The sequence below is a fragment of the Homo sapiens genome, chromosome 2 (genome assembly GCF_000001405.40).
Source record: "Homo sapiens chromosome 2, GRCh38.p14 Primary Assembly".
NCBI lineage: Eukaryota > Metazoa > Chordata > Mammalia > Primates > Hominidae > Homo > Homo sapiens.
In genome coordinates, this window is record NC_000002.12 from 98,193,972 (window position 1) to 98,218,957 (window position 24,986).

The window sequence follows — 24,986 nt, forward strand, 5'->3', positions numbered from 1 at the left end:
AAAAGAGAATGACTGAAATGATGTTGTTTTAGATTTCTTTTCTTCCAGCATATTGTATTTGGTGTGCTTATTTGGTATATCCTTAATGTTAGTATTAAAATCAATATTTAATGTCACATTATATATATAAACTTTTACATATACGTGACATATATAATGTATATTCATATAATCATATATACATTTGTAAAGGTCTTAACACACAAACTGGATAAATTTTATTTAAATATCCTTTATACTAGATAGGATATTCTCTATTGAATATAATTTTTTGCTTCTTGAACTGAAAATAGAGACCATCATGATTAAAATATATCAAACTGTGGCCTACCCAAACCCTTTCTAACATCTGAGTGGTTTTATGGTTAAATAATCATTGTCTCTTTTAGGAACAGCTGAAATATAAAAGTAAGTTTAACTTTGTGAAGTTTGATGGTCAAGCAGTTGCTTGGCGGGAACAACTTGCTGAAGTCAATGAAGATAATTTGGAACAGGCTCAGTCCTGGATTAGAGACATAAAGGTAAGTTGGAGACTAAGCTGGGAGAAGCATCCTAGGAGTCTCTCACCTGTGTACTGAGTTCATTCACAGGACAGACATTCCTGAGAGGTGTTTTGCACTCTCAGGATGGAAGTGGCTTAACATGTAGACTTTTGTTTTGCTTGCAGTGGTCACGTTAATCCAATCTCATTTTGTCAATATCATAAGGTTTAGATGAGCCTCTTATTCTTATCTACTCACAGTTCTCTATTTCCAGCTCTGCCCTTGGCTCAGGTTGAAGCCCCCTTATGAAAACACATTTCAAAACAGAGTTTTTTTTTTGTACTCAGACATTCAGATTTTTTTCTTCTGAAATTTCATTATTGTTGCAAACGGTATATTGCAGCCATTCTTATCAATGGGCTTTGTTCAAAAGTAAGGAGCATGTGGAAATACACAGTACAATCTGAGTGTTTAGGACTGAATGCAAGAAGAGAGCTAGGGCAGGAGAATGTAGTAAGAAGGTGAAATCATTTCCTCAGAAGTGACTGCCCTTGGCATTTACACAGACTCCTGGGAAGGATTTTCCTTGCCCTAAATTTTCTTATCTTGAGCTTATCTTAATTTTTTATAGCATATAGCATTGCGAACTTCCAAATATTTGAGATATACTACAATTGAGACCAAGAGTTGTTCTTAAAAAGTCAAATATAGGAGCTGGACATCGTGGTGCACACCTGTAGTCCCAGCTCCTTGGGAGGCTGAGGTAGGAGGATCGTTTGAGCCCAGCAACTTGAGACCAGCCTGGGCAACAGAGCAAGTCTCCGTATCTTTTCTTAAAAAGGCAAATATGTATCAGAAACATCTTTAAAGTAGTTTAGTGTCTAGTTTAGAGTCTTAGATTTGACAGAAAGTCACAAATAGACATTAGCAGATCATTGAGATGCACCAGGGCTCCCTTGTGACTTGTTTTTAAAACTGGGAGGCGAAAATCTGTTCTATAAGAAATAATAATGCCTGTAAGATTTTAATTTAACTGGGCACCTTATCCTGGGAAATAGTGTTGAATTCATACCCAACTTGTTAAATTTCCAGGATTAACCAATGAAGTTACTTGTGACATACGTTCTGTCCTTTTTTTTTTCTGTCCTTTTATGACACAATAATAGGAAATACCTTGTTAACTCAGAGCCTACTAATTTAGGGTTTATGATAACAAGATATTATATATATAATCTCATTGCATAAAAACATCATTGGGTTCTGCTTTATATAAAAATCACTAATGAATAGAGTCAGCCATCTATTCAGATTTTAGCCATTTGGCTAAAAACACATATTCCTATAAAGCATAATTCTGTTCTCTTTACAAATTTTCACTGATGCTCCCTTGCTGGCTTGTTGAATGTCCAAAATTCATTTTCAAAAGGACCAAGGATAAAGAAAATGTGGCATATATACACAATGGAATACTACACAGCTTAGAAAAGAAGGAAATCCTGTCATTTGCAACCAAATAAATGAACCTGGAGGACATTATATTAAGTAAAATAAACCAGGCAGAGAAAGAAAAAACACCACATGATCTCACTTATATGTAGAATCTAAAAATGTTGAACTCACAGAAGCAGAGAGTAGAATGGTGGTTACCAGAGACTAGGAGCAGGGTGCTGGGTGGGGATGGGGAGATGTTGGTCAAAGGGTACGTAGTTTCAGTTAGACAGGAGGAATAAGTTCTGGAGCTCTATTGTACAACATGGTAACTATAGTTAATAACAATGTATTGTATACTTGAAAATTGTCAAGAGAGTAAATTTTAAGTGTTCTCACCACTCAAAAATATGTCAGGTGACAGATTTGTTAATTAGCTTGGTTTACTCATTCCACAACATATACATATATCAAAACATTACATTGTATACCATATATACAATTTTATTTGTCAATTAAAAGTAAATTAATTTTAAAAAGATAATAAAGAAAGCCAAATTCTATTATTCTTTCGGCTGATTTGGTCCAGTAGTCAACCCGGTAGCACTCAGGGTGGTCTGAGCCTGCTTTGTGCTGTTGTCATGCAGCAGTAGGTCCCCAAACAAGCATAGGCGTTCCTAAGGCCAGGGAGCACAAGCTGTGGCCGCGCCTGCCCAGTAGTTGAGCGGGGGAGATGGAGGGAGCAGGTGCAAAACAGGTGCCACCCCCAGACCATGTTTCCCCGGGCTCTCTCTGTCTGCCTCTTCCCCAGCTTTGCCACCATCTTTTCAGCAGTAGGCTTTTCAACAAAAGACTATTGAGAATGGGCTCAGAGGGAAGAGTTGTTCTGTTTACCATCTGGAATACACATTTCTGCTGCCCAAATCCTGCAAGAGGGTTTTGTTTTGCTTTTAACTTTTAAATTTGCAATAATTTTAGACTTACAAAAAAGTTGCAAAAGTAGTACGGAGCGTTCACATTTACCCTTCACCTAGCTTTCTCCAATGTTCACCTCTAACATAGCCATGGTATAATTATAAAACTAAGACATTCACATGGCTACTATGAGCTAAATTGCAGACTTTATTCAGCCTTCATCAGTTTTCCACTAATGTTCCTTTTATGTTCCAAGATCCAGCCAAGGATCTCACATGACATTTAGTTGCAATGCCTCCTTAGTCTCTTCCAATCTGTGACAGTTCTTCAATCTCGCCTTGTCTTTTGTGACCTTGACACTTTTGAAGAGTACTATTCAGATCTTCTGTAGAATGTCCTTAAGTTTGATTTTGTCTAATGTTTTCTCATTATTAGATTGGGTTATGGATTTGGGGGAGGGAATACTCTTCCCAGTGGATCACCTGAAGGCACACATGATGCTGATATGCTCTATGACCAGCAGTGTTTACTTTGATCATTTGGTTAAGGTGACATCTGCCAGGTTTCTCCTCCAAAAGTTACCATTTTTTTCCCTTTGTAAATAATAAAAGTTTTGGAGGAGGTGCTCTGAAGCTATGCAAATATCATTTGTTCCTTAAGCTTTTGCCCACAATTTTAGCCCTCAATGTGGATCATCCTTACAACAATTATTACTGAGCTGAGGTGATTTTATATTTCCTCTATTCCTTTTACATTTCTATATTGGAATTATTCTATAAGGAAAAGATTTCCCTTTCCCCCTTTTACTTATTCATTTATATATTTATTTCAATGTGGACTCATGGAAATTTATTTTATTCTTGGAGTTATAATCTAATACTATCATTATTTATTTTGTTACTTTGGCCATTGGGAATTCTTTTATGCTGCCTCTAAATATTTAAATATGCATCCACCTTTTTTTCCCCCTTTAGCATTTCTTGATTTTCTGTCACTATAAGATGTTCTATGATCATCTTATATTTTCCCAGCCTCAGCCCTGAAATCCACCACTACTCCAAGGAACCTTGGTTTCTTTTGTTACAGAATGGTATTTAGAAACCAAGATCTGGACACCTGGTTGTGGTTATTGCTACCGGATTGTATCACTGCTTTTACGCCCTCTCAGTGGACAGAGATAGAAATATATATACATAGAAAATATCTATATTATATATTGATATATATGATAATATCTATTAAATGTATATTTCTATAGCTACTCCATGTATCCATAAACATCTATATTTATTTATCTGTATATCAGTCTGTATTTATATTAAATAAGCAAACAAATCATGCGTTCATACTGATACCTCTAATTCCAACACAGAGCCCAGGGTTCATTTGTAATGAACTTATTTGCAACTTCTTCAACAAGGAGAAACCTGATTCTCATTACCTATAACATATTTACTTATATTTTCAACCCTACTGTACATATAGTTTCGATATTGCTAGTTCATACTCTACAAGAAACAAATTTATCAGCTATAGTGTTTGTATACAGCTTTTTTTTTCTGCTTTAACTTTACAGTATCCATTCAAAAAACTGTCTTCCAAAGCTGTGAAGTCAGGTAACTTTCTTACCCAATCTCTTTAGCGTGCTTATGTCATTCATTAGTGACACAGTTAGACTCATTGGTTACAGTCTGCATTTCACCTTGGTTTCCTCCACATCCTAGTTGAATCTTATTTTAATTTGCATGCAGTAAAAAAAAAAACACTCTTTTTGGTGATAGTTCATGGATTTTGATAAATGCATAGAGTCATGTATCTCCACCACAGTACCAAAGGGACCAATTCTATCACTCCCAAAATGTCCTCATATGCCCCTTTGTCACCAACTCCCCCTCCCTCCTGGTAAACACTGCTCTGTTTCTCTGTCCTTATAGCTTTTCCTTTTCCAGAATGTCATATAAACAAAATCATACAATAGAACTTTTGGGTTCTAGCTTCTTTCACTTACCAAAATAACACTTGACCCCTGCCTGTAATCCCAGCACTTTGGGAGGCCGAGGCAGGCGGATCATGAGGTCAGGAGATCAAGACCATCCTGGCTAACATGGTGAAACCCCGTCTCTACTAAAAATACAAAAAAATTAGCCAGGTGTGGTGGTGTGCGCCTGTAGTACCAGCTACTCGGGAGGCTGAGGCAGGAGAATGGCGTGAATCCAGGAGGCAGAGCTTCCAGTGAGCCGAGATGGCGCCACTGCACTCCATCCTGGGCGACAGCGCGAGACTCCGTCTCAAAAAAAAAAAAAAATTGAGTTTCTGGATATAAGAACTTTGTCAGTTCTTATAAGTTCGTCCAACTTATTTCATGAATCAAGAGTTTATTCCCTTTTATTGATAAGTAGTGTTTTTATTAATGAGTAGTGCTTTATTGATGAGTATGGAAGCAAAACTGTTTACCCATTCCTTGTTGAAGGCTATCTGTGTTATTTCCTGTTTTGGGTTTTATACATAAAGCTGCAGTAAACATTTGCCTACAGATTTTTGTGTGAAAAGGTGTTGAGAACTGTGAAGGGCCTGAGATTTTACCTTTCTTGCAAACTAATGTGGATGCCGGCAGAACACCAAGGCTTTTGGGTCAGAGACAAATGACTTTATTACCCACAGCAAAAGCAGTAACCAGAGCATCAGCATTTTCTTGTACTAGCTCCCTGAGCCCCAATTTCCGCAGGGTGAAACAATGAGGACCAGGCGACTCTTGCTCATGCATTAGGTTGTGTTAAAGGAGGGGGCCCTGAACTTAAGAAAACCAAATCTTCTATAATGGACTGTGAGCATGCTGGTCCTTCGCTCCAGAGTTAGGTATTATCTTTATATTGGACAATAAGCATGCCTACTCTTTGCTTTGAAGACAGACAGTATTTCTGTTTTCCAAGGCTGTTCCCTATATATACATCTTGAAAAGATAAACCAGAGCAGACAGCACGTCTGTTGCAAGATATGTAGAAATACATGAGACCCATGGGAAATGGTTTCCAACAATAAGTTTTCACTTCATTTGAATATAAATAAATATCTAGAAGTGAGATTGCTGGCCAGTATGCTAAGTGTATGTTTAACTTTATAAGAAACTGCCAAACTGTTTCCCAATGTGGCTGTACCGTTTTGCATTCCCGTCAGTGATATATGAGAGTTACCATTACTTTACATCTTCTCCAGCTTTTGATGTTGTCAGGTTGTTTTATTTTAGACATTCTAATATGGCTGAAAGATGTCTCGTAGTATCCTATTGTACTTTTAATTGCATTTACTTAACACTCGTCTTTTCATGCTTATTAGGCATCTGTATGTATGTCTTCTTTGGTGAAATATCTGTTCAGATATTTTGCCCATTTTTTAATTGAGTTGTTTGTTTTCTTAAGATTGAGTTTCTTCAGGCTGGGCGCGGATATGGATAATAGCTGGAGTCAGGCCAGGCACGGTGGCTCACGCCTGTAATCCCAGCACTTTGTGAGGCCGAGGCAGGCAGATCATGAGGTCAGGAGTTCAAGACCAGCCTGGCCAACATGGTGAAACCCCGTCTCTACTAAAACTACAAAAAATAAGCCAGGCGTGGTGGCAGGTGCCTATAGTCCCAGCTACTCAGGAGGCTGAGGCAAGAGAATGGCATGAACCCAGGAGGCTGGAGATTGCAGTGAGCTGAGACGACGCCACTGCACTCCAGCCTAGGTGATACAGCAAGACTCCATCTCAAAAAAAAAAAAAAAAAAAGACTGACTTTCTTCATGTATTCTGCACATAAACTTTATCAGACTTACAATTTGCAAGTATTTTCTCCCAATCTATGGCTTTTCATTCCCTTAATAGGGTTTTTCACTGTGTATAAGTTTTTAATTTTGATAAAGTCGAAGTTGCCAAGTTTTCTTTACGGATTGTGCTTTTAGACCCATAGCTAAACACATTGCAGTCATGCAGGTTTTCTCATGTTTTCATCCTCAAATGTAATGGTTTTACATTCTGTGTTTAAGAATAGGGTTCATTTTGAGTTCATTTTTGTATAAGGTGTGAGGCAGGATCCAGCACTGTTTGTCTAAGTAACTATTCCTCTCTCCGTGGAATTACTATTGCTTCTTGTCAAAAATCATTTGACTATATCCGTGTGGGTCTATTTTTGTTTCATTGAACTATTAATAGGTGTCTGTTCTTTCACCAACATCACATTGTCTTTATTATTGTGACTTTACACTGAGTCTTGAAATCAGCCAACCTGAATCCTCTAGCTTTGTATTTCCTTCCAAATTTTTTTGGCTGTTATATAGTTCCTTTGACCTGCCTTGTACATTTCAGAATCAGTTGTTGAAATCTACAAAACAGTACACTAGGATTTTGATTAAGATTCCCTTAAGTCTATAGATCAGATTCAAGAGAATTGACGTCTAACACTGTGTACCTCTAAATTTATTTGGGTCTTTTTTGTTACTATTGTAAATAGTACTTTTTAAATTATAAATTTTAATTCTTTATTACAATTGATTTTTGTATACTGACCTTATTTCTTTTGACCTTGCTAATCTTACTTACCTGCTCTAGGAACTTTGTTGTAGATTACTTGGGATTTCCAATGATGTCATGTATGAATAGAGATGATTTTATTTTTTCCTATCCAACCCGTATAGTGTTTATTTCTTTCTCTTGCCTTAATGCACTGGCTAAGACTTTCAGTATGATGTTTAACAGGAGTGGTGAGAGAGAACATACTTGCCTTGGTCCTGATATTAGAGGGGAAACATTCAATCTTTCACTATTAAATACTTTGCTAGCTGTGAGGTTTTTTGTTTTTTTTGTAGATGTGCTTTATCTTGTTAACCAATTTCCCTTCTATTCTTGGTTTTTTGAGGATTGTTACCATAAACAAATATTGGATTTTGTAAATGTGTTTTCTGCATCTGTTGAGCTTTTGATTTTGATGAAGCCAAGTTGCCAAGTTGTACTTGGCAGATCTGTTGTCTGTTAATATGGTGCACTACGTTGATTTGTTTTTGAATATTAAATTGGCTTTGCATTCTGGGATAATCTCCACTTGTTCAAGATGTATTATAGATTGAATATATTCTGCATTAAATTTGTTAACCTATCTTGTTGAGGTTTTTTTGTCTATATTCATGAGGAATATTGGTTTGCAGATTCTTTTCTTAGAAATTGTTGTCTAATTTTGGTATCAGGAAATGCTGACCTCATAATATGGGTTAGAAAATATTCCATATTCTTTTTTTCTAAAAAAGGTTGTACAGAATTGATATGATTTTTCCTTAACTGTTTGGTAGAATTTACCAATGAAACCATCTGGGCCTCTTTTTTTGTTAGAAGTTTTAAAACTATGAATTCAATTTCTTTAACAGATTTAGGACTATTCAGATTATCTGTACCTCTGTGAGTTAGTTTTGGTCATTTGTTTCTTAGAAGGAAGCAGCCCATTTCTTCCATAGGGTTGAATTTATGAGCATAGAATTGCTCACAGCATTCCCTTATCATTTCCTTAATGTTTGTGGGATCTGTAGTGATGTTTGATATTGGTAATTTTTGTCTACTGCCTTTTTTTCTTGGTTAGTTTGAAGAGCTTTTTTTATTTTTCTTTTAATTTTGTTAATTTTTTCAAGAAACCAACTTTTTGTTTCTTTGATTTTCTAATTTTTAACAAATGTTTTAAATTGTGTTGATTCCTGCTATCTTTATTATTTTTCTCCTCCTACTTGCTTTGTTTTTTTAAATTAAATCTCCATTTCTTAGATCTAAGAATTTAATGATATAAATGCCACCCCCAGCTACTGCTTTAGCTGTTCCCACAAATTACGTTTTATAACTATTTTTGTTCAGTTCGAGATGTCATTTCTAAAGACTTGGCCTAATCTTAGATCCTGAAGATGTTTTCCCCGTGTCCTTTTTTCTAGAAGTTTTATAATTTTGTTTGACATTTAAGTCTATGATCTGTTTGGAATTAACGTTTGCATAAGGTGTGAGATCTAGGTTGAGGTTTATTTATTTATTTATTTATTTATTTTGAGATGGAGTTTCGCTCTTGTCGCCCAGGCTGGACTGCAGTGGCATGATCTCGGCTCACTGCAACCTCCACCTCCCAGGTTCAAGCGATTCTCCTGCCTCAGCCTCCAGAGTAGCTAGGCCTACAGGCATGTACCACCATGCCTGGCTAATTTTTGTGTTTTTAGTAGAGACGGGGTTTCTCCATGTTGGCCAGGATGTTCTCGATTTCCTGACTTTGTGATCTGCCCGCCTTGGCCTCCCAAAGTGCTGGGATTACAGGCGTGAGCCACCACACCCGGCCGGTTTATTTATTTTTCGCCTATGAATGTGCAATTCTTGTGACACCATTTATTGAAAAGGCTATTCCTCCTCTATTGAATTGTTTTTGCTCATTTGCCAAAAATCAGTTGAATATGTCTGCAGGTCTTTGTATGGGTTCCCTGTTCTGTTCTATTGTTATATGTGTTAATGTCTCCATTAGGACCACACTTTCTTGATAGCTATAGCTGTATAGTGAGCTTTAAGATCAAGAACAGCTACTCCTACTTTACATTTCTTTTTTTGAATTGTTTTGGCTATTCTTGGGCCTTTATTTTCCATACAAAAATTGAAAACAAACTTCTTTATGCCTATTGAAAACCTTGCTGACATTTGGATAGAAATTGCATTAAACCTATAGATCTAATTAGGAAGAATTGGCATCTTTATTGTGTTAATTCATCTATTCCATGAATACAGTATGTCTCTCTGAGTATTTAGGTCTTTGATTTATTTCATCAGAATTTTATAATTTCAGCATGCAGCTCTTGTACCTGTTTAAGTATATACTAAGTATTGTAATTTTTTGGAGCAATTGTAAGTGGTATTGCACTTTTTATTTTGGTTTTCACCTATTTGTTGTCAGTGTGTAGAAACGCAGTTGGTTTTCATGTGTGGACTTTGCATCTTTTGACCTTAGTAGGCTTACGTACTATTTCGCTTTTTGTTTTTTGTGTATGGTAAGCCCTCCATATCTGCAAGTTCTGTGTCTGTGGATTCAACCAACTATGGATTGAAAATATTTGGGAAAAATAAATGGTAAAAATCATAACAATACAACAATAAAATATAATACAAAACTTAAAAGATATAACAACTACTTATGTAGAATTTACATTTTGTTAGATATCATAGGTAATCTGGAGATTATTTAAAGTATACATGAGGATTGTATAGGTTATGTGCAAATACTATGCCATTTTATACGATACTTGAGCATCCTCAGATTTTGGTGTCCATGGGGTTGGGAGTGGATCCTGGAACCAGTCCCCCACAGATACTAAGGGACAACTGTAGTTCTCAGGATTTTCTATGTAGATAATTGGGTAGTCTGCAAATAGACAGTAGTATTTGTTTGTTTGTTTTTTCCAACCTCTATGACTTATTCCTTTGCCTTATTGCAGCGGATAGAACTTCCAGTACTACATTGAATAGGTATGTTGAGAGCAGACATACTTGCCTTTTTCCCAATCATAAAGGGCAAGAATTCAGTCTTCTCCCATTAAGTATGATGTTAGCTGCAAGCTTTTTGTACATGCTCTTTATGAGATTGAGAAAGTTTCATTCTATTCCTAATGTACTGAATTTTTATACTGAATGAAGGTTGCATTTGCCAAATCCTTTTCTGTGCAAATTGATATGCTCATATGATTTTTTTTCCAAATTTTGAACCAACTCTGAATACATAGAATGCCACTTGGTCATGATGTATTATTCATTTTATACTTTGTTGGATTAAATTTGCTAATATTTGTTGAGAACTTTTGTGTCCAGGTTCATGAGAGATGTTGGTCTGTAGGCTTTTTGTGTGTGTGCTGTCTTTGTCTGCTTTGCGTATCAGTGTAATACTGGCCTCATAGAGTGAGTTGGGAAGTATTCCCTCCCCTTCTATCTTCTGGAGTGGATTGTGTAAAACTTGTGTTAATTCTCCTTTGAATGTTTGATAAAATTCTCTAGTGCGGCCAGGCACGGTAGGTCACATCTGTAATCCCAGCACTTTGGGAGGCCAAGGCAGGCAGGATCACCTGAAGTCAGGAGTTCAAGACCAGCCAGGCCAACATGGGAAAACCCCGTCTCTACTTAACATACAAAAACTAGCCGGGCATGGTGACAGATGCCTGTAATCCCAGCTACTTGGGAGGCTGGGGCAGGAGAATCACTTGAACCCAGAAGCAGAGGCTGCAGTGAGCTGAGATGGCGTCACTGCACTCCAGCCTGGGTGACAGAGAGAGACTCTGCCTCAATAAATAAATAAATTAATGAATTAATTCTCTAGTGCAACCATATGGACACAGATACTTCTTTTCAGGGGCTTTTTAATTACAAATTCAATTTCTTTAATAACCATAGAACTATTCAGGTTGTCAGTTTCATCTTGGTAGAGTTTTGGTAGTTTGTGGTTTTTGAAAAAGTGTTCATTTTTTTCTAAACTGTAGAATTTATGAGCATAAAGTTTTTCATAATATTCTCTTATTGTCCTGTCAGTGACTGCAAGAGATGTTGTAATAGGCCCTGTTTTGTACTTGATGTTGGTAATATGTGTCTTTTTACCTTGCAAATCTTGCTAGAAGTTTGTCAATTTTATTGATTCTTTTTAACAACCAGCCTTTTGTTTTATCAATTTTCTCTATTGTTTTACTATTTGAATTTTATTAATTTCTGTTCTTTATTATTTACTTCTTTCTGCCTGCTTTGAGTTTATTTTGCTCTTGAGTTTATTTTTCTAGGTTCTTGAGGTAGGAACATAAATTATAGTTTTGGCATATTTTTATTTTATTGTAAGTAAGCTTTTAGTACCATAAATTTTCCTGCCAGAATTATGTTGGTACATCCCACAAATTTTAAACAAAACAGCTTAATTTTCATTCAGTACTATTTAATTTTTAATTTTCTTTGTGATTTAACTTTTGGGCCATGAATTATTCAAAGCATGTTTTAAAATTTCCAAGTGTTTGTGGAAATTTTCATGTTGTCTTTCTGTTATTAATTTCTATTTTGATTCCACTATAGTCAGAGGGCATACTCTGTATGATTTCAAATCTTTTAAATTTGTTAAATGTTGTTCTGTGACTCAAGATATGGTCTATTTATGCACATTTTCAATGTTTGTTTGAAAAGCATATGCAGTCTTTTGTTGGGTGGAGTATTCTATAAATCTCAATTAGATCTGGTTAGTTGATGGTATTGTTCAATTCCTCTCCGTCCTTGCTGATTGGTTAGTTGTTCTGTCAATCATTAAGAGCGGGATATTGGGCAACACTCAGTCTCCACCCAAACTCTACCATGTTGAGTTCTGTGGGTCATGTCTGCTGCCTCAGCCTCCAGGGCCTTGCAGGAACTCAGCCCGTCAGTGTTGCTACTCCAAGCTCAGGTCTTGCCATGGGCCACTCTGGCAGCAATCCAATCTACCAGGAAATATGGGCACAAACATCACCTTTGCTGAAGACAGGCACCACCACTGGGTGTATTGTGGTGGTCATTGATGCAGTAGTGGATATCCAGTTTGATGAGGGACTACCATCTATTTTAAATGCCCAGCAAGTACAAGGCAGGGAGACCAGGCTGGTTTTTGTGGTGACCCAGCATTTGGGTGAGAGCACAGTAAGGATTATGCTATGAATGGTACAGAAGGCTTGTTTAGAGGCCAGAAAGTCCTGGATTCTGGTGCACCAATCGAAAGTCCTGTTGGTCCTGAGACTTTGAGCAGAATCATGAACATCATTGGAGAGCCTATTGATGAAAGCGGTCCCATCAAAATGAAACAGTTTGCTCCCATTTATGTTGAGGCTCCTGAGTTCATGGAAATTAGCGTTGAGCAAGAAATTCTGGTGGCTAGTATCAAAGTTGTGGATTTCCTCACTCCCTAGCCAAGAGTGGCAAAATTGGGCTTTTTAGTGGTGTTGGAGTTGACAAGATTGTACCCATCATGGAGTTAATCAATAATGTTGCCAAAGCCCATGGTGCTTAATCTGGGTTTGCTGGTGTTTTTGAGAGGACCTGTAAGGGCAATGACTTATATTATGAAATGACTGAGTCTGGTGTTGTCAACTTAAAAAATGTTACCTCCAAGGTAATGCTGATGTAAGGTCAGATGAATGAACCACATGCTACTCATGCCCAGGTAGCTCTGACTGGACTGACTGTGGCTGAATACTTCAGAGACCAAGAAGTTCAAGATGTACTCCTGTTTATTGATAATATCTTTCACTTCACCCATGCTGGCTCAAGGGTGTCTGCCTTATTGGGCAGAATCCCTTCTGCTGTGGGCTATCAGCCTACCCTGGCCACTGACATGGTGGGTATGATGTGGGGAAAGAATTGCCACTACCAAGAGGAGATCTATCACCTCTGTACAGGCTATGTACCTGCTGATGACTCGACTGCCTCTGCTACTTCCTTTGCTCATTTGGATGCCACCACTGTGCTGCCCCATGCTGTCACTGAGCTGGGCATCTATCTACATGTGGATCCTCTGGACTCCATCTCTCACATCATGGATCCCAACATTGTTGGCAATGAGCATAATGATGTTGCCCGTGGGGTGCAAAAGATTCTGCATGGCTACAAATCCCTCCATACGTTATTGTCATAATCCATATTGGGTATGGATTAACTTTCTGAGGAAGACAAGTTGACTGTGTCTTGAATGTGGATAATACAACGTTTCTTGTCTCAGCCATTCCAGGCTGCTGAGGTCATCACAGGTCATATGGGGAAGTCAGTACTCCTGAAGGAGACCATTAAAGGATTTCAGCAGATTTTGATAGGTGAACATGACCATCTCTCAGAACGGGCCTTCAGTGATGGAACCCATTGAAGAAGGTTTGGCAGAAGCTGATACGCTGGCTGAAGAGCACTTATTGTGAGGGGTCTTTTTGGCAAACTAAGCACTCATCTGCTGTACTGTCCCTCTCCTTCCCCTAATCCAAACAGCTTCAGGTTTCGGTGTAAGCCACATGAGAACCTTGATTGAAAACATGTTCTATCTGAAGAGTATTTAAGGTTTCCAATACAATGTACACCCCTCAGAAAAAAAAGAATGGTGTACTGAAGACCCCAACCATAAGACTCTACCTATTTTATCTATTACAACTCTATTATAAAGTAGATAAAAATAGATTTATCTATTTTTCTTTTCATCTCCATCAAATTTTGCTTCATGTGTTTTGAAGCTCTGTTGTTTGATGTATACACATTTAGGGTCATTGTCTTCTTGGTGGATAGAGAATTTTATCATCCTAATGTCCCTTTTTGTCCTTAGTAAATTTTCTTTGTGTTAAAGTCTACTTTATATAATATTAATATACTTATTTTTGCTTTTTAAAATTAAATATTTGCGTAATACGTTTTTTCCATCCTTTTACCTTTAACCTATCTACGTTGTTATGCCTGAAGTGAGTTTCCTGTAGACAGCATAAATCGGGTCATGTTTTTGTTCACTCTTCAATCTCTGTCATGTAATTGGTATATGTAGGTGATTTATATGTAAAGTAATTATTCATATTTAAGGATTAAGTGTCTCATTTTATTTATTTATTATTTTTGTGTGTCTCCTCTGTTTCTCATTTTTCTCTTTTGTCTTGCCTTCCTATGGGTTATTTGAGCATATTTTGGTGTTTCATTTTGATTTATTTACACTGTTTTTGAGTGTATTGCTTTGTATACTTTTCTTAATAGTTCTATGTATTTCCTTATACATATATGTAACTTATCACAGCCTATTGTGATGTAACTTATCACAGCCTATTGGTGGTTTGCTACTTCAAGTTAAGTGTAGCAACCTTACTTCTATTTAGGTCCCTTTACACTCACCATTTAAAATATATAATTGTCTGAAGTATTTCCTTTGCATGCATTATATGCCATCTTAGATGGTGCTAAACTTTTGCTTCAATCATAAAATGTAACTAAAGAAATCCATGGTGTTAAGGATTATCTATTATGCTTACTTTTATATTTACTCATTCCATTGTTCTTTTTTCTGAAAGTCCAGGCTTTTTTCTTTTCTCGTTCTCTTTCTATATGGAAAGCTTTCATGAATGCTTCTTTAAGGGTAGGTCTCCCTGTAATAAATTCACATAGTTTTCCTTCTCCTTCAACCCTGGAGGATATTTTCCCCAGATAGATGATTCATGGCTGGCAGTTATTTTCTCTCAGCACTTGAAAATGTGGCGCCTCTTCCTCTGGTCTCTATAGTTTCAGATGAGAAACTGCTGTCATTTGAATTGGTGCTCTTTTATAGGTAACGTGTTATTTCTCTTCAGCTTTTTTAGGATTTTTCTTTGTTTTTAGTTTCAGAAATTTAAATACAATGTGTCTTGGTGTGGCTTTCTTTGGTTTTATCCTGTTTGGGATTTGCTTAGCTTCTTGAATTGTAGTTTCTGTATCTTTAACCAAATTTGTTTTTTTGTTTGTTTGTTTGTTTGTTTTTGAGATGGAGTCTTGTACTGTCGCCCAGGCTAGAGTGTGGTGGCGCGATCTCGGCTCACTGCAAGCTCCACCTCCCAGGTTCATGCCATTCTCCTGCCTCAGCCTCCTGAGTAGCTGGGACTACAGGCACCCACCACCACGCCAGGCTAATTTTTTGTATTTTTAGTAGAGACAGTGTTTCACCATGTTAGCCAGGATGCTCTCGATCTCCTGACCTCATGATCTGCTCGCCTCAGCCTCCCAAAGTGCTGGGATTACAGGCGTGAGCCACCGCGCCCAGGCAAAATTTGGGGTTTTTTTCAGTCATTACTTTTTAAATGCTTTTTAAGCCCCATACTCTTTCCCCTCTTTTTTCTGAAACTCTAGTGGTATGAATAGTATTAGCTCTTCCTCATTGTTCCAGAGATTTCTGAGGCTCTGTTGGTATTGGCATCAGTGGGTTGCTTTTCTCATTCGAATGTGATATTTCTGGTTCTTGGTATAATGAGTGATTTTTAAATTATATCTTAGACCATTCGGTTATCATGTTAGAAGACTTTATTTCCACTTATGTCTGTTTATTCGGCGCAGTCGCTGTGTTTGGGTGTAGCATGTTTGCTCTGGCTTACTTCTGTGGGCTTTCGTTCCAGTGGCAGTCTCGTTCCCTGAGCCATCTTGTGCTGCTGGGGCCCCTCAATTCCTGTTTGGTGCTGTCTGCAGGGGTGGAAGGCATGTCCCTGGGCTGCCTGCTGTTGCTGGGTGACCTTCTGGGATGGGGAGCAGACCACAGATTAAAAATACAGGAAATATAAGCCCTTAGCCTAGTAAGTACTCAATAGTTGTTGTTTTATGATTAACATTACTCCCATCGTTTTCCTGGCCCCTCTCCTCCTATGGGCTTTACAGTTATGGAATTACTTGCTGAATCCTGAACAAGAAAGGAGTCTGGAGCGTGCAGCATCCTTCTGTGGTTTCCTGCCTATCCTACTCATCCTTTAAGAGTCTTCCCTGCTGTCTCCCCTAGAAGATGTATTTAGCAACTCACTCAGCTAGAGTAAGATGCATCCTACGCTGGGCATGAACTTTTACAGCTTTTGGCACAGTGTTAGGTCGTCATATTCTAGGCATCCAACACCATCCTATGAACCCCCTTCAAGGCACAGAATTTTGTCTGGTTTTGTAGGTTATGTCTCAGATCTATCAAAATGTCTGGCACGTGGTACTTATGTGCTTACTAAGTATCTATTGAAATGAAAGGGAGTAAAGCTGATGAAGGAGCCTTAGGTGAGAGCAGCTGGATGGGTCAGGTCATGGGGTTCCCCATCATGGCTGAGTCTGAGAAAGTCTTAATGGGAGAGTGCCCATGGTATATGGTGAGGCCTGAGATGCCTTGGGTGGGGTGGGGGCTGGATGTGTTCTGGATCTTTGTCATTCCTTAGGCTGTCAGTCTCTGCTCCCTTCTTATCCTGATTCTTGGGATGGGGGCAGAGTCTGTTCACCTGTGGAAGTTGAAGGGTCTGGCCTCGCTTTAGCTAGGGTGTGGGTAATGTGACCCAGGCACCGTCAGTCAGAATAACCTCCTAGGCTTTGACTTGAGAGATTGTGACTCCAGATGGCAGGTCCAGCAGAGACAAACTTGGCAGTAGTGGCAGATGCACACCGATGCAGCTCCTGGGGTGGCAGTGGCAGTGAGCTCTGGTCCATCTCTTGTCAATACTCCCAGTGCCAGCGAGGAAAGCCACAGCATCCAGCGCTCTGCAGTGGAACTGCAGCGGGGCCCCCACCAGGCAGCCCTGCAGCAGGATTGGGGGTCTCGTTCCTGATGAGAGGTCCCAACCCAGGTTATCCTGTCCATTGGTGATGCTGTGAGCCATCCCAATGTCCTTTATCATAAATTCCTTCCTGTTTGAATCAACCACAGTTGGTTTTCTTGCTTACAACTGAAGCTGGAGTGATACAACGGAACTGAGATGAGGGGGATGTTGAAGGAGGCTTTTGGACAGTTCAAAGTCCTGTATCTCTACTGATGGTCCCTTGGTAAGGATCATTTTTGCATATTAAGGAGAGTACATTCCATAAATTAATATGTATCTAAAAATCCATTCCTTTCTATATTGATGAAGTATTCAAGAGATTTTCTAAGTGTTTACTACGATTTGAGAGATTGCTAAAAACAGAACTTGTCAGGTAATGTTAGATATGCCCACATGTACATTGTTAGATTGCTAAGGATACCACACTCACGTTTACCAAATATTGGGTATCATGAATAAATCCTGGTTTGAAACCATTATGATGCCACAGTGTATTTAGGCTGCATGTTTAAGCTCTGTTGACAGACGAGTGAGCAGTAACTGAGTTAGCATCTCATGTAGAAACACAAAAAAATAAAATTGCATTAAGAGCTCTGTCAAGACAGGAAATCCACAGTCCTGACTTCTAGCAGTCCTTGGACTGCCCGGAAAGAGACTTTTAGGCATACCCTGCGATATGTTTCTTGGAATCACTGGGGTTAAACTATTATCTCAATGTAATTATTTATCTTTCATCTCATAGGTACTTTTTCTTCTTTTTTGGAAGCAGAAAATAAATACTTGTTTGTGAATTCTTTTTTGGGATTCAAGTGTGTCCTTGGTGTCTCTTTTTTCCGTAGATTGGAAGCTCCACAAACACCCTGAGTGCCCTGAAAACTGCTTTTGCTGATAAAGAAACACAGGCAATCTACCTTCTGACCGATGGGAGACCTGATCAGGTACTTACCAGAGCTGGGAACAAAGAGGGCCTCACTGATGCTCTGAAAGCAAATGCTGGAAATGGGTCTGGGGGACCTTTTCAGCTGCCACCAAAAATCTGTGGACATATACTTCCTTGGCTTAGGGACTCAGATCTGAGGTGAGAAAATACACTGAAAGATTCTTTTGTCTCTGGAAACTCTGAGGAGAATTTATGAGACAGTGAATGTTGCCTGGTGAGTGTGACACACACCCCTAGCCTGGAGACCAGCCCCACAAAAGGAGACGTCTGCTGTCCACTGAAGACTGGTTTGCATTTTATTACAAATGAAAAGTGAGGAGATTCTTTTTGATTTTTTTTCCTCTAGAGACTCTGAATCTAACATGTCACTGCATAATGTCCTTGGCTTTACCTCTAAGGCTTAGTACTCATTTAAACAAAAACATGCCTTTCTAGCGAAATGTCCTTTGTTTTGTTTAGCCCGACTGGAAAATATTTGAAAAGCTGTAGAGGAGTCTGTTCATCTTCTTTTGAGCTTTGTGAATGAAAGAGGAGTACTCCAGGCATTAAATAAATAGAAGGATTTTCAGGCCAGCGTAATGTAAATTAACAGCTAAAGTGAATTAGTGTCAACTCGCGTCCTTCCTTGTGAGATGGTTTGCATATGCAGACTGCTAGGCAAATATTCTAAAATATCCTGTGGCAAAAAGTTCAGGGCTTAAAGAGAGTAAGCATCTGGATTTTACTGCAGCTTTAGATTTATGACAGAACGGGAGTGTGTAAAGTGAAAATTTATTTAAAATTTTTTTTCCTATCAACTTACTGTGTTTTCTCTTTGGAAGCAGTTCATCGTGTCTCTCTTCTGTTCCATGTGTGGTGCCAGGGTCTGAGGCTATAAAGATGAGTAACAGCTCATCCCTGCCTTTGGGAAGTTTGTGCTTTGGGGAATGTGCTAGATGTATACAGTTTAATACAACACGGGAACAGGGTTGCCTGTGCTATGTCTAGGGGCACAGAGTGATGGATTTTGCTGTACAGATGGAGGGAAGGTCAGGGCAGGTTCCAGCGAGGCGGGGACATTTGAGCTGTGTCTGGAAAGACAAGAAGGAATTTTTGGAACAGAAGACACTGTTGATGTCCTGGGCAGAAGGGACACAGAGGTGTGGAAATATGTGGGGGGCTCAGAGAAAAAAGCTGAGGACAGGGGCAACGGAAGAAGATCAGGGTGGAGGTGAAAAACGTTGGGTTGAGGAAGACTGTGGAAGTCCTCGAATGCCATATTAGAAGGGTGGTGTCACCACAGAGAGGAACTCTCGGAGGAGCCGCCCACCCTACCCATCTGCATCTCAGAAACATGCCTCAGTTGTGCCAAGGAAAGGCTGGCGCTGCCATGGCCTGCTGCTGGGTCCTTGATGAAAGCTGGGAAGGACCTAGCCTTGGGTGGGAGCAGCAGGAATGGGAGGAGGGGACTGCCTCCAGACGTGAGCCGCAGGAAGCAGCATCAACAGGACCTCATGGCCAGTTTGGAAACAGTGAGTGAGAGGTGAGGAGAAGGTAGGAGCAAGGCAGAAAGGAGTCAGGATGACTGATTCCTGGTTTACAATGATTTTGATATTAACGGATTGAAATGCAGATTTCAAGAAGAGGCAAGTAGGCTTGGGGGTGGCTGGTGGAGGAAGCTGTGTTTGCGAACCTCTAGGGAGTGCATGGGTGTCTAGAAGTCCCTAGAAATATGGAGCTGGAGTTAGGGGACAGTGTGGGCTGAAGATTCCGACTTGAGAGACATCTAGGCAAGTCAAGGTGTATTTTTCTTTTTAATATACTCTTACTGATTTTTAAAATTGTTTACACTATGGACAACTTGGAAAACACAGATAAGCATTAAAAAGGAGAAAATGTGGTTGGGTGGGGAGGCCCACTCCTGTAATCTCAACACTTTGGTAGGCTGAGGCAGGAGGATTGCTTGAGCCCAGGAGTTCAAGACCAGCCTGGACAACATATTGAGACCCTGTCTCTACAAAAAACTTTAAAATTAGCTCAGTGTGGTGGTGTGCACCTGTAGTCCTAGCTACTCAGAAGGCTGAAGTAGGGGGATCATTTGAAACCAGGAGTTCAAGGATGCAGTGAGCTATGATCGTGCTACTGCACTCCAGCCTGGGCAACAGAGCGAGTCCCTGTCTCTAAGAAAAAAACAAAAAAAAAAGCAAAACACAAAAAAAACAAAAAAAAGAGGAAAAAATTTGAATCACTCATAATTGAATTTTGTGGGTTTTTTTCCCATCTAACATATCACATGCATTGTTCCAAGTCATCAAAAATTCTTCAGGAGCATCCTTCTCAATGACTGCATCACATTCTGTTATATGAATTTAATAAAACTTGTACCTTAAAGCTATTTTTGTTTAAATTTTGAATAGTAATGTGTTCTAATGCATTCTTTTCTACCTTCGTAGAAAAGCATAGGTAGAGAAAATTCTCCCTCTCACCCCTTTCACCAGCTAGGAGGCAACTGATGGAACTAGTTTTTTTGTATCTCCTTTCAGAGATGGTTTCTGTTATACAGCAAAAATGTATTCATATATATTTCATCTTTTTTAAAAAAACAACTGTTAGCCTATTATACACATGATTCTGCACCTTTATTCGTCAAACAGTATACCTTGGAGATGGCTTCATATCATTTCATAAAGAGCGTCCTCATTCTCTTCTAGGTTCCATCACATGGCTATCCCATCACTTATTTAGCTAGTCCCCTGCAGATACGCAGTCGGATTGTTTTTGAGCTTTCTGATTTACACAATCTTGCCAAAGGAACTCTGTGCATATATTGGTTTGCCTGTGAGTGAGTATATCTGTACGTGTAAATTCTGAGAAGTGGACTCAGCTGCAAGGTCCATGTTTTGATTGATACTGCCGAATAGCAGCCCCCAAAGAGGATGTCACAAGCAACATTCCCGCAAGCAGGGTATTGACAAGAATTCTTGATCTACAGTCCAGTACGGACTTCTGAGGCTCTGGAATCTCCCAATAATATGTATAAAAATACACTCAAAATTTTTGTTTTCTTGAGAGAAGATCGATATATTTTACCAGATTCTGAAGGTCTACTCAAAGATGGAGAATCAAGGATATGGATAATAGCTGGAGTTAGGCCAGGCGCGGTGGCTCATGCCTGTAATCCCAGCACTTTGGAAGGCCGAGGTGAGTTGGATCACAAGGTCAGGAGATCAAGACCATCCCGGCTAACACGGTGAAACCCCGTCTCTACTAAAAATACAAAAATTAGCTGGGCCTGGTGGCGTGCGCCTGTAGTCCCAGCTGCTGGGGAGGCTGAGGCAGAAGAATGGTGTGAACCCGGGAGTTGAAGCTTGCAGTGAGCCGAGATCGCGCCACTGCACTCTAGCCCGGGCGACAGAGCGAGACTCCATCTAAAAAAAAAAACAAAAAACAAAAAACAAAAAAGATGGAGTCAGAAATGTGCAAATTACCCCAAACATAATTTCGAAACTCTTTTTTTCTTTTCTTTGAGACAGAGTCTGGCTCTGTCGCCCAGGCTAGAGTGTAGTGGCGCAATCTCGGCTCACTGCAAGCTCCACCTCCCGGGTTCACGCCATTCTCCTGCCTCAGCCTCCCCAGCAGCTGGGACTACAGGCTCACGCCGCCACACCCGGCTAATTTTTGTATTTTTGGTAAAGACGGGGTTTCACCGTGTTAGCCAGAATGGTCTTGATCTCCTGACCTTGTGATCTGCCCACCTCGGCCTCTCAAAGTGCTGGGATTAAAGGTGTGAGCCACCGCGCCCAGCCAATTTAGAAACTCTTGAGGACTTCCGAATTCAACACCTGCAAAAAGACTGCCCTTTCGACACACGTGGTCTATTTTTTTTTCATTATTCCTTGGATTCTCTCAAAAAGGCAAATTGATATTTGATATTCATGTTCTATGTAGAAGATATGGAGATGTACCACTCAATTTCCATTTTTTGCTTTTGAATTTTCACTGGCTTTATAGGAACTGAATGTGTAAGGCCCGTGTTATTATTCCAAATATTCAGCAGAATTTTCTTTGTGGAAGAATAGACACAGATGCTGTTCTGGATCAGTTACATGGACACTAGCTTCCTGCCTGATTATTAAATGTCCGAGGGAGCATTATAAGGTGACACAGTCTTTAAAATTAAGCAGGTCAAAAAATTAAGTGGGTTCTAGAAATATTAGTCTTCGTTAAAAGGGAATCATATACACATTGGATAAGTGTCCTTTGGTGGGCATCCATAGTGTAAGCTGGCAGGGTCTTTGCTGGGAACAGCCCCATGCAGCTTTGGCTGCGGTCATTTTGGGAATTCTTTAAAGTTATGGGCTGGTCTGGACTGGAATCAAGAAAATGGACATGATAAAGGCATGTGCACCATCCTAAATAAAACTAATGGCTAAAGCCTTAGCATAGGGTATGTGAGGGCAGGAGGTTGGGGAAGGTGCAGGGTGATCAACCTGCACATGCACAAACAGACCTCCTTCCCGGCAGGGAGGAGATGGAATCTCGGCCTTTCTTGCCACTCCAGCTGATGTGTGTGGAGGAAGGCTGCACAGCTGATGTGTGTGGAGCCCTGGCTGCACAGCTGTTTAGACTCAGAGCAGAGGGAATGGGGAAAGTGGCTCAGGTGTGCTGCTTGGCCTTATCCTAGGCTGACAGCAGCTCCTGGCAAATAAAATGTACTCAACAAATATTTGTGGAATGCCTTCCAGGGAACATCATCTCATTTACTCCTCACAGCAGCCGTTTAAGGAGGGAGTATCAGTTCTGAGCCACAGATGAGGAAACTCACATTAGACAGGACATGCCCTAGGCCATTCAGATGGGCAGTGCTGGATGAGCTTCAAGCCCAAGTCTCTCGCTCTGGAGCTGTTTCCTTCATTCCATACAGCTGAAGACAGCATGAGTGGGAGAGACTGTCATGTGTATCATTGTAAGCACCCGCCCCGCACCCAGTCTCAGGTGGTCCCTTCATGCTAAACTGGCATGATGTTCAAGTGCCCCAGGATGGTGCTGGGGAGCTGGGCAGAGGGTGGGGGTTCCCCTCAATGGCAGAGGGAGCTCCATCCCTGCAATGGGAAACAGCCACTCCTGTCCTCCTGCCCCCTCCCTGCTGAGGAGTCCTTTTGCTGGTTTGTATCCTCAGAGCTTTGAAGAGCACAATCAGAAAGTTGAAGCAAACCTCTCACCACCGCAGACTGACTAACCGTACCCCTTTCTGTCACTCATTCCAGCAGCTTCTCTGGGCTGTGGAGTGTGGGCCCACTCCCTGTCTAGCTCCTGTGTACAGTGAAGAAGCCTCTCTCAGCTCTGGGGCTCCTTAATCCATTTCTCACAGACCCTGCCTGCTTTCTTCAGTTTCTAAGATGAATGCCCAGCACATGGGAAGACCTTTAATAAACATCTCTTCCTTCACTCTCTGTGGGAAGCGGTTGACCATAGCATGTTGGAAGCTGGAAATTGCTCTTTTGTAGCCCAGCACTTTAAATGCATGGACTGTAAGTTCAGGCACACCTAAAGTTGAGTGACTTGGTTGGCCGAATCTTTCTCCTAGCTTCTTTGTCCCACCCAACTGAGAGACCTCAGAGCCAAGGCCCATGTCTTGTGGATCATTGTACTCTCACCATCTGGCAGTCTTTTCTTTATTTACTGAATTGAATCGACATGTTTTTAAGAAGCCACTCACCACTGTATACAGAATTACTATTTGAGTATCTGTAGTAAATACTAAGGATTTTCATATTCTTTTCTTTCTCTTCTCTTTCCATCTCCCTTCCCCCATCCCCAAAACTTATCGTTTCAGCCACCTGAAACAGTTATAGACCAGGTCAAACGTTTTCAGGAAATTCCTATTTATACCATCTCCTTCAATTACAATGATGAGATTGCAAACAGGTTTTTGAAAGAGGTTGCTGCTTTGACTGGAGGAGAGTTCCATTTTTATAATTTTGGTTGCAAGGATCCCACTCCCCCAGAGGCTGTTCAGGTAAGAGCTTGGTGGGCTAAGAAGGGAGTGTTCATTTGTTTGAGCATTACAGGCTGGCGGTCCCTGGGTAATACCTTCGTTGGGAAAATAGCAACCATAGAGATAACTAAGTCAAAAAAATGAGTCGCTTAACAATGAGTGTACCAGTGTTTCTCAGAATGTAGCCCAAGGACCACCTGAGCTAGGGCACCTGAGCAGATTCCTGCATCCCATTTCAGAGATGCTAAAGCAGGTTGTAGGCATAGAGGCCCAGGAATTATAAATTAATATATATATTTTGTTTTTCTTCTAAACTTTTTATTACAGAAAGTTTCAAATATTACACAAAATAGAAGCATATATAGACCTCCATGTACCTATAATTTAAATTCAACAATTATCAATATTTTGACAAACTTTAGGAATCTGTGTTTTTAACAGGGATACCCAGGGAGCTATATGTGAAGTTTGTTAATCACTGCTATACACAGATATTTGTAGAAAATGAAACAATGTCAGATGTAGGTGGTTAGTTGCTTGCTGACCTCTCAGACTATATAACCATTTGACCACCTGATAAAGCAATTTATTCTAATAGGCTAATGGGAGAAAGCAAATAAAATTCTGTTCTCTCATCCTCCAGACTTGGCCTGTGCATATGCATTTCAAGGATGCCCTTCTAGGGTGTGTGTTTTTTGTTTTATGTTCTGAGGAGTGACTTTAAATCCAGATTCAGTGGGTAGCAGGACAAGTCAGAATACTGATCAGTGCTTCATGTGAGTGAACTACCTGAGACTAGGGAATGAATCATCCAAAAAACATTGGAGGGACCAGTGCTTTAAGCTCACAGAGGGCTGGGAAGAGTGCTCCCACTAGTGAGGATTGGAAACTTCATAATCCTTTGGGCACTGGGTAAAGTACACAGGAGGGTCTTGCCTCGGTAGTGGGAG

The 24,986-nt window shown here is 39.9% G+C and overlaps 1 protein-coding gene and 1 pseudogene across 21 annotated transcripts in view; both read left to right on the forward strand.

Annotated features, from left to right (window-relative positions):
- VWA3B (von Willebrand factor A domain containing 3B) overlaps positions 1–24,986 on the forward strand; it is a 243,450-nt gene that overhangs the window by 106,805 nt on the left and 111,659 nt on the right. For 17 of the 21 annotated variants that reach the window (XR_922885.4, XR_922884.2, NR_144297.2 and 14 more), the window contains 3 exons: positions 390–521; positions 17,959–18,057; positions 23,875–24,057. Coding sequence is in view for 16 of the 21 variants with exons in the window: in NM_144992.5 (NP_659429.4) it covers positions 390–521; positions 17,959–18,057; positions 23,875–24,057 (414 nt within the window). In the remaining 5 variants the exon portion in view is untranslated. Of the gene's footprint in view, positions 1–389; positions 522–17,958; positions 18,058–20,749; positions 20,966–22,783; positions 23,005–23,874; positions 24,058–24,986 lie in introns of those variants that run through there. The other 4 variants (NR_144296.2, XM_047443648.1, XM_011510775.3 and 1 more) reach the window with 4 other exon arrangements.
- Positions 12,159–13,927, forward strand: ATP5F1BP1 (ATP synthase F1 subunit beta pseudogene 1; annotated as a pseudogene).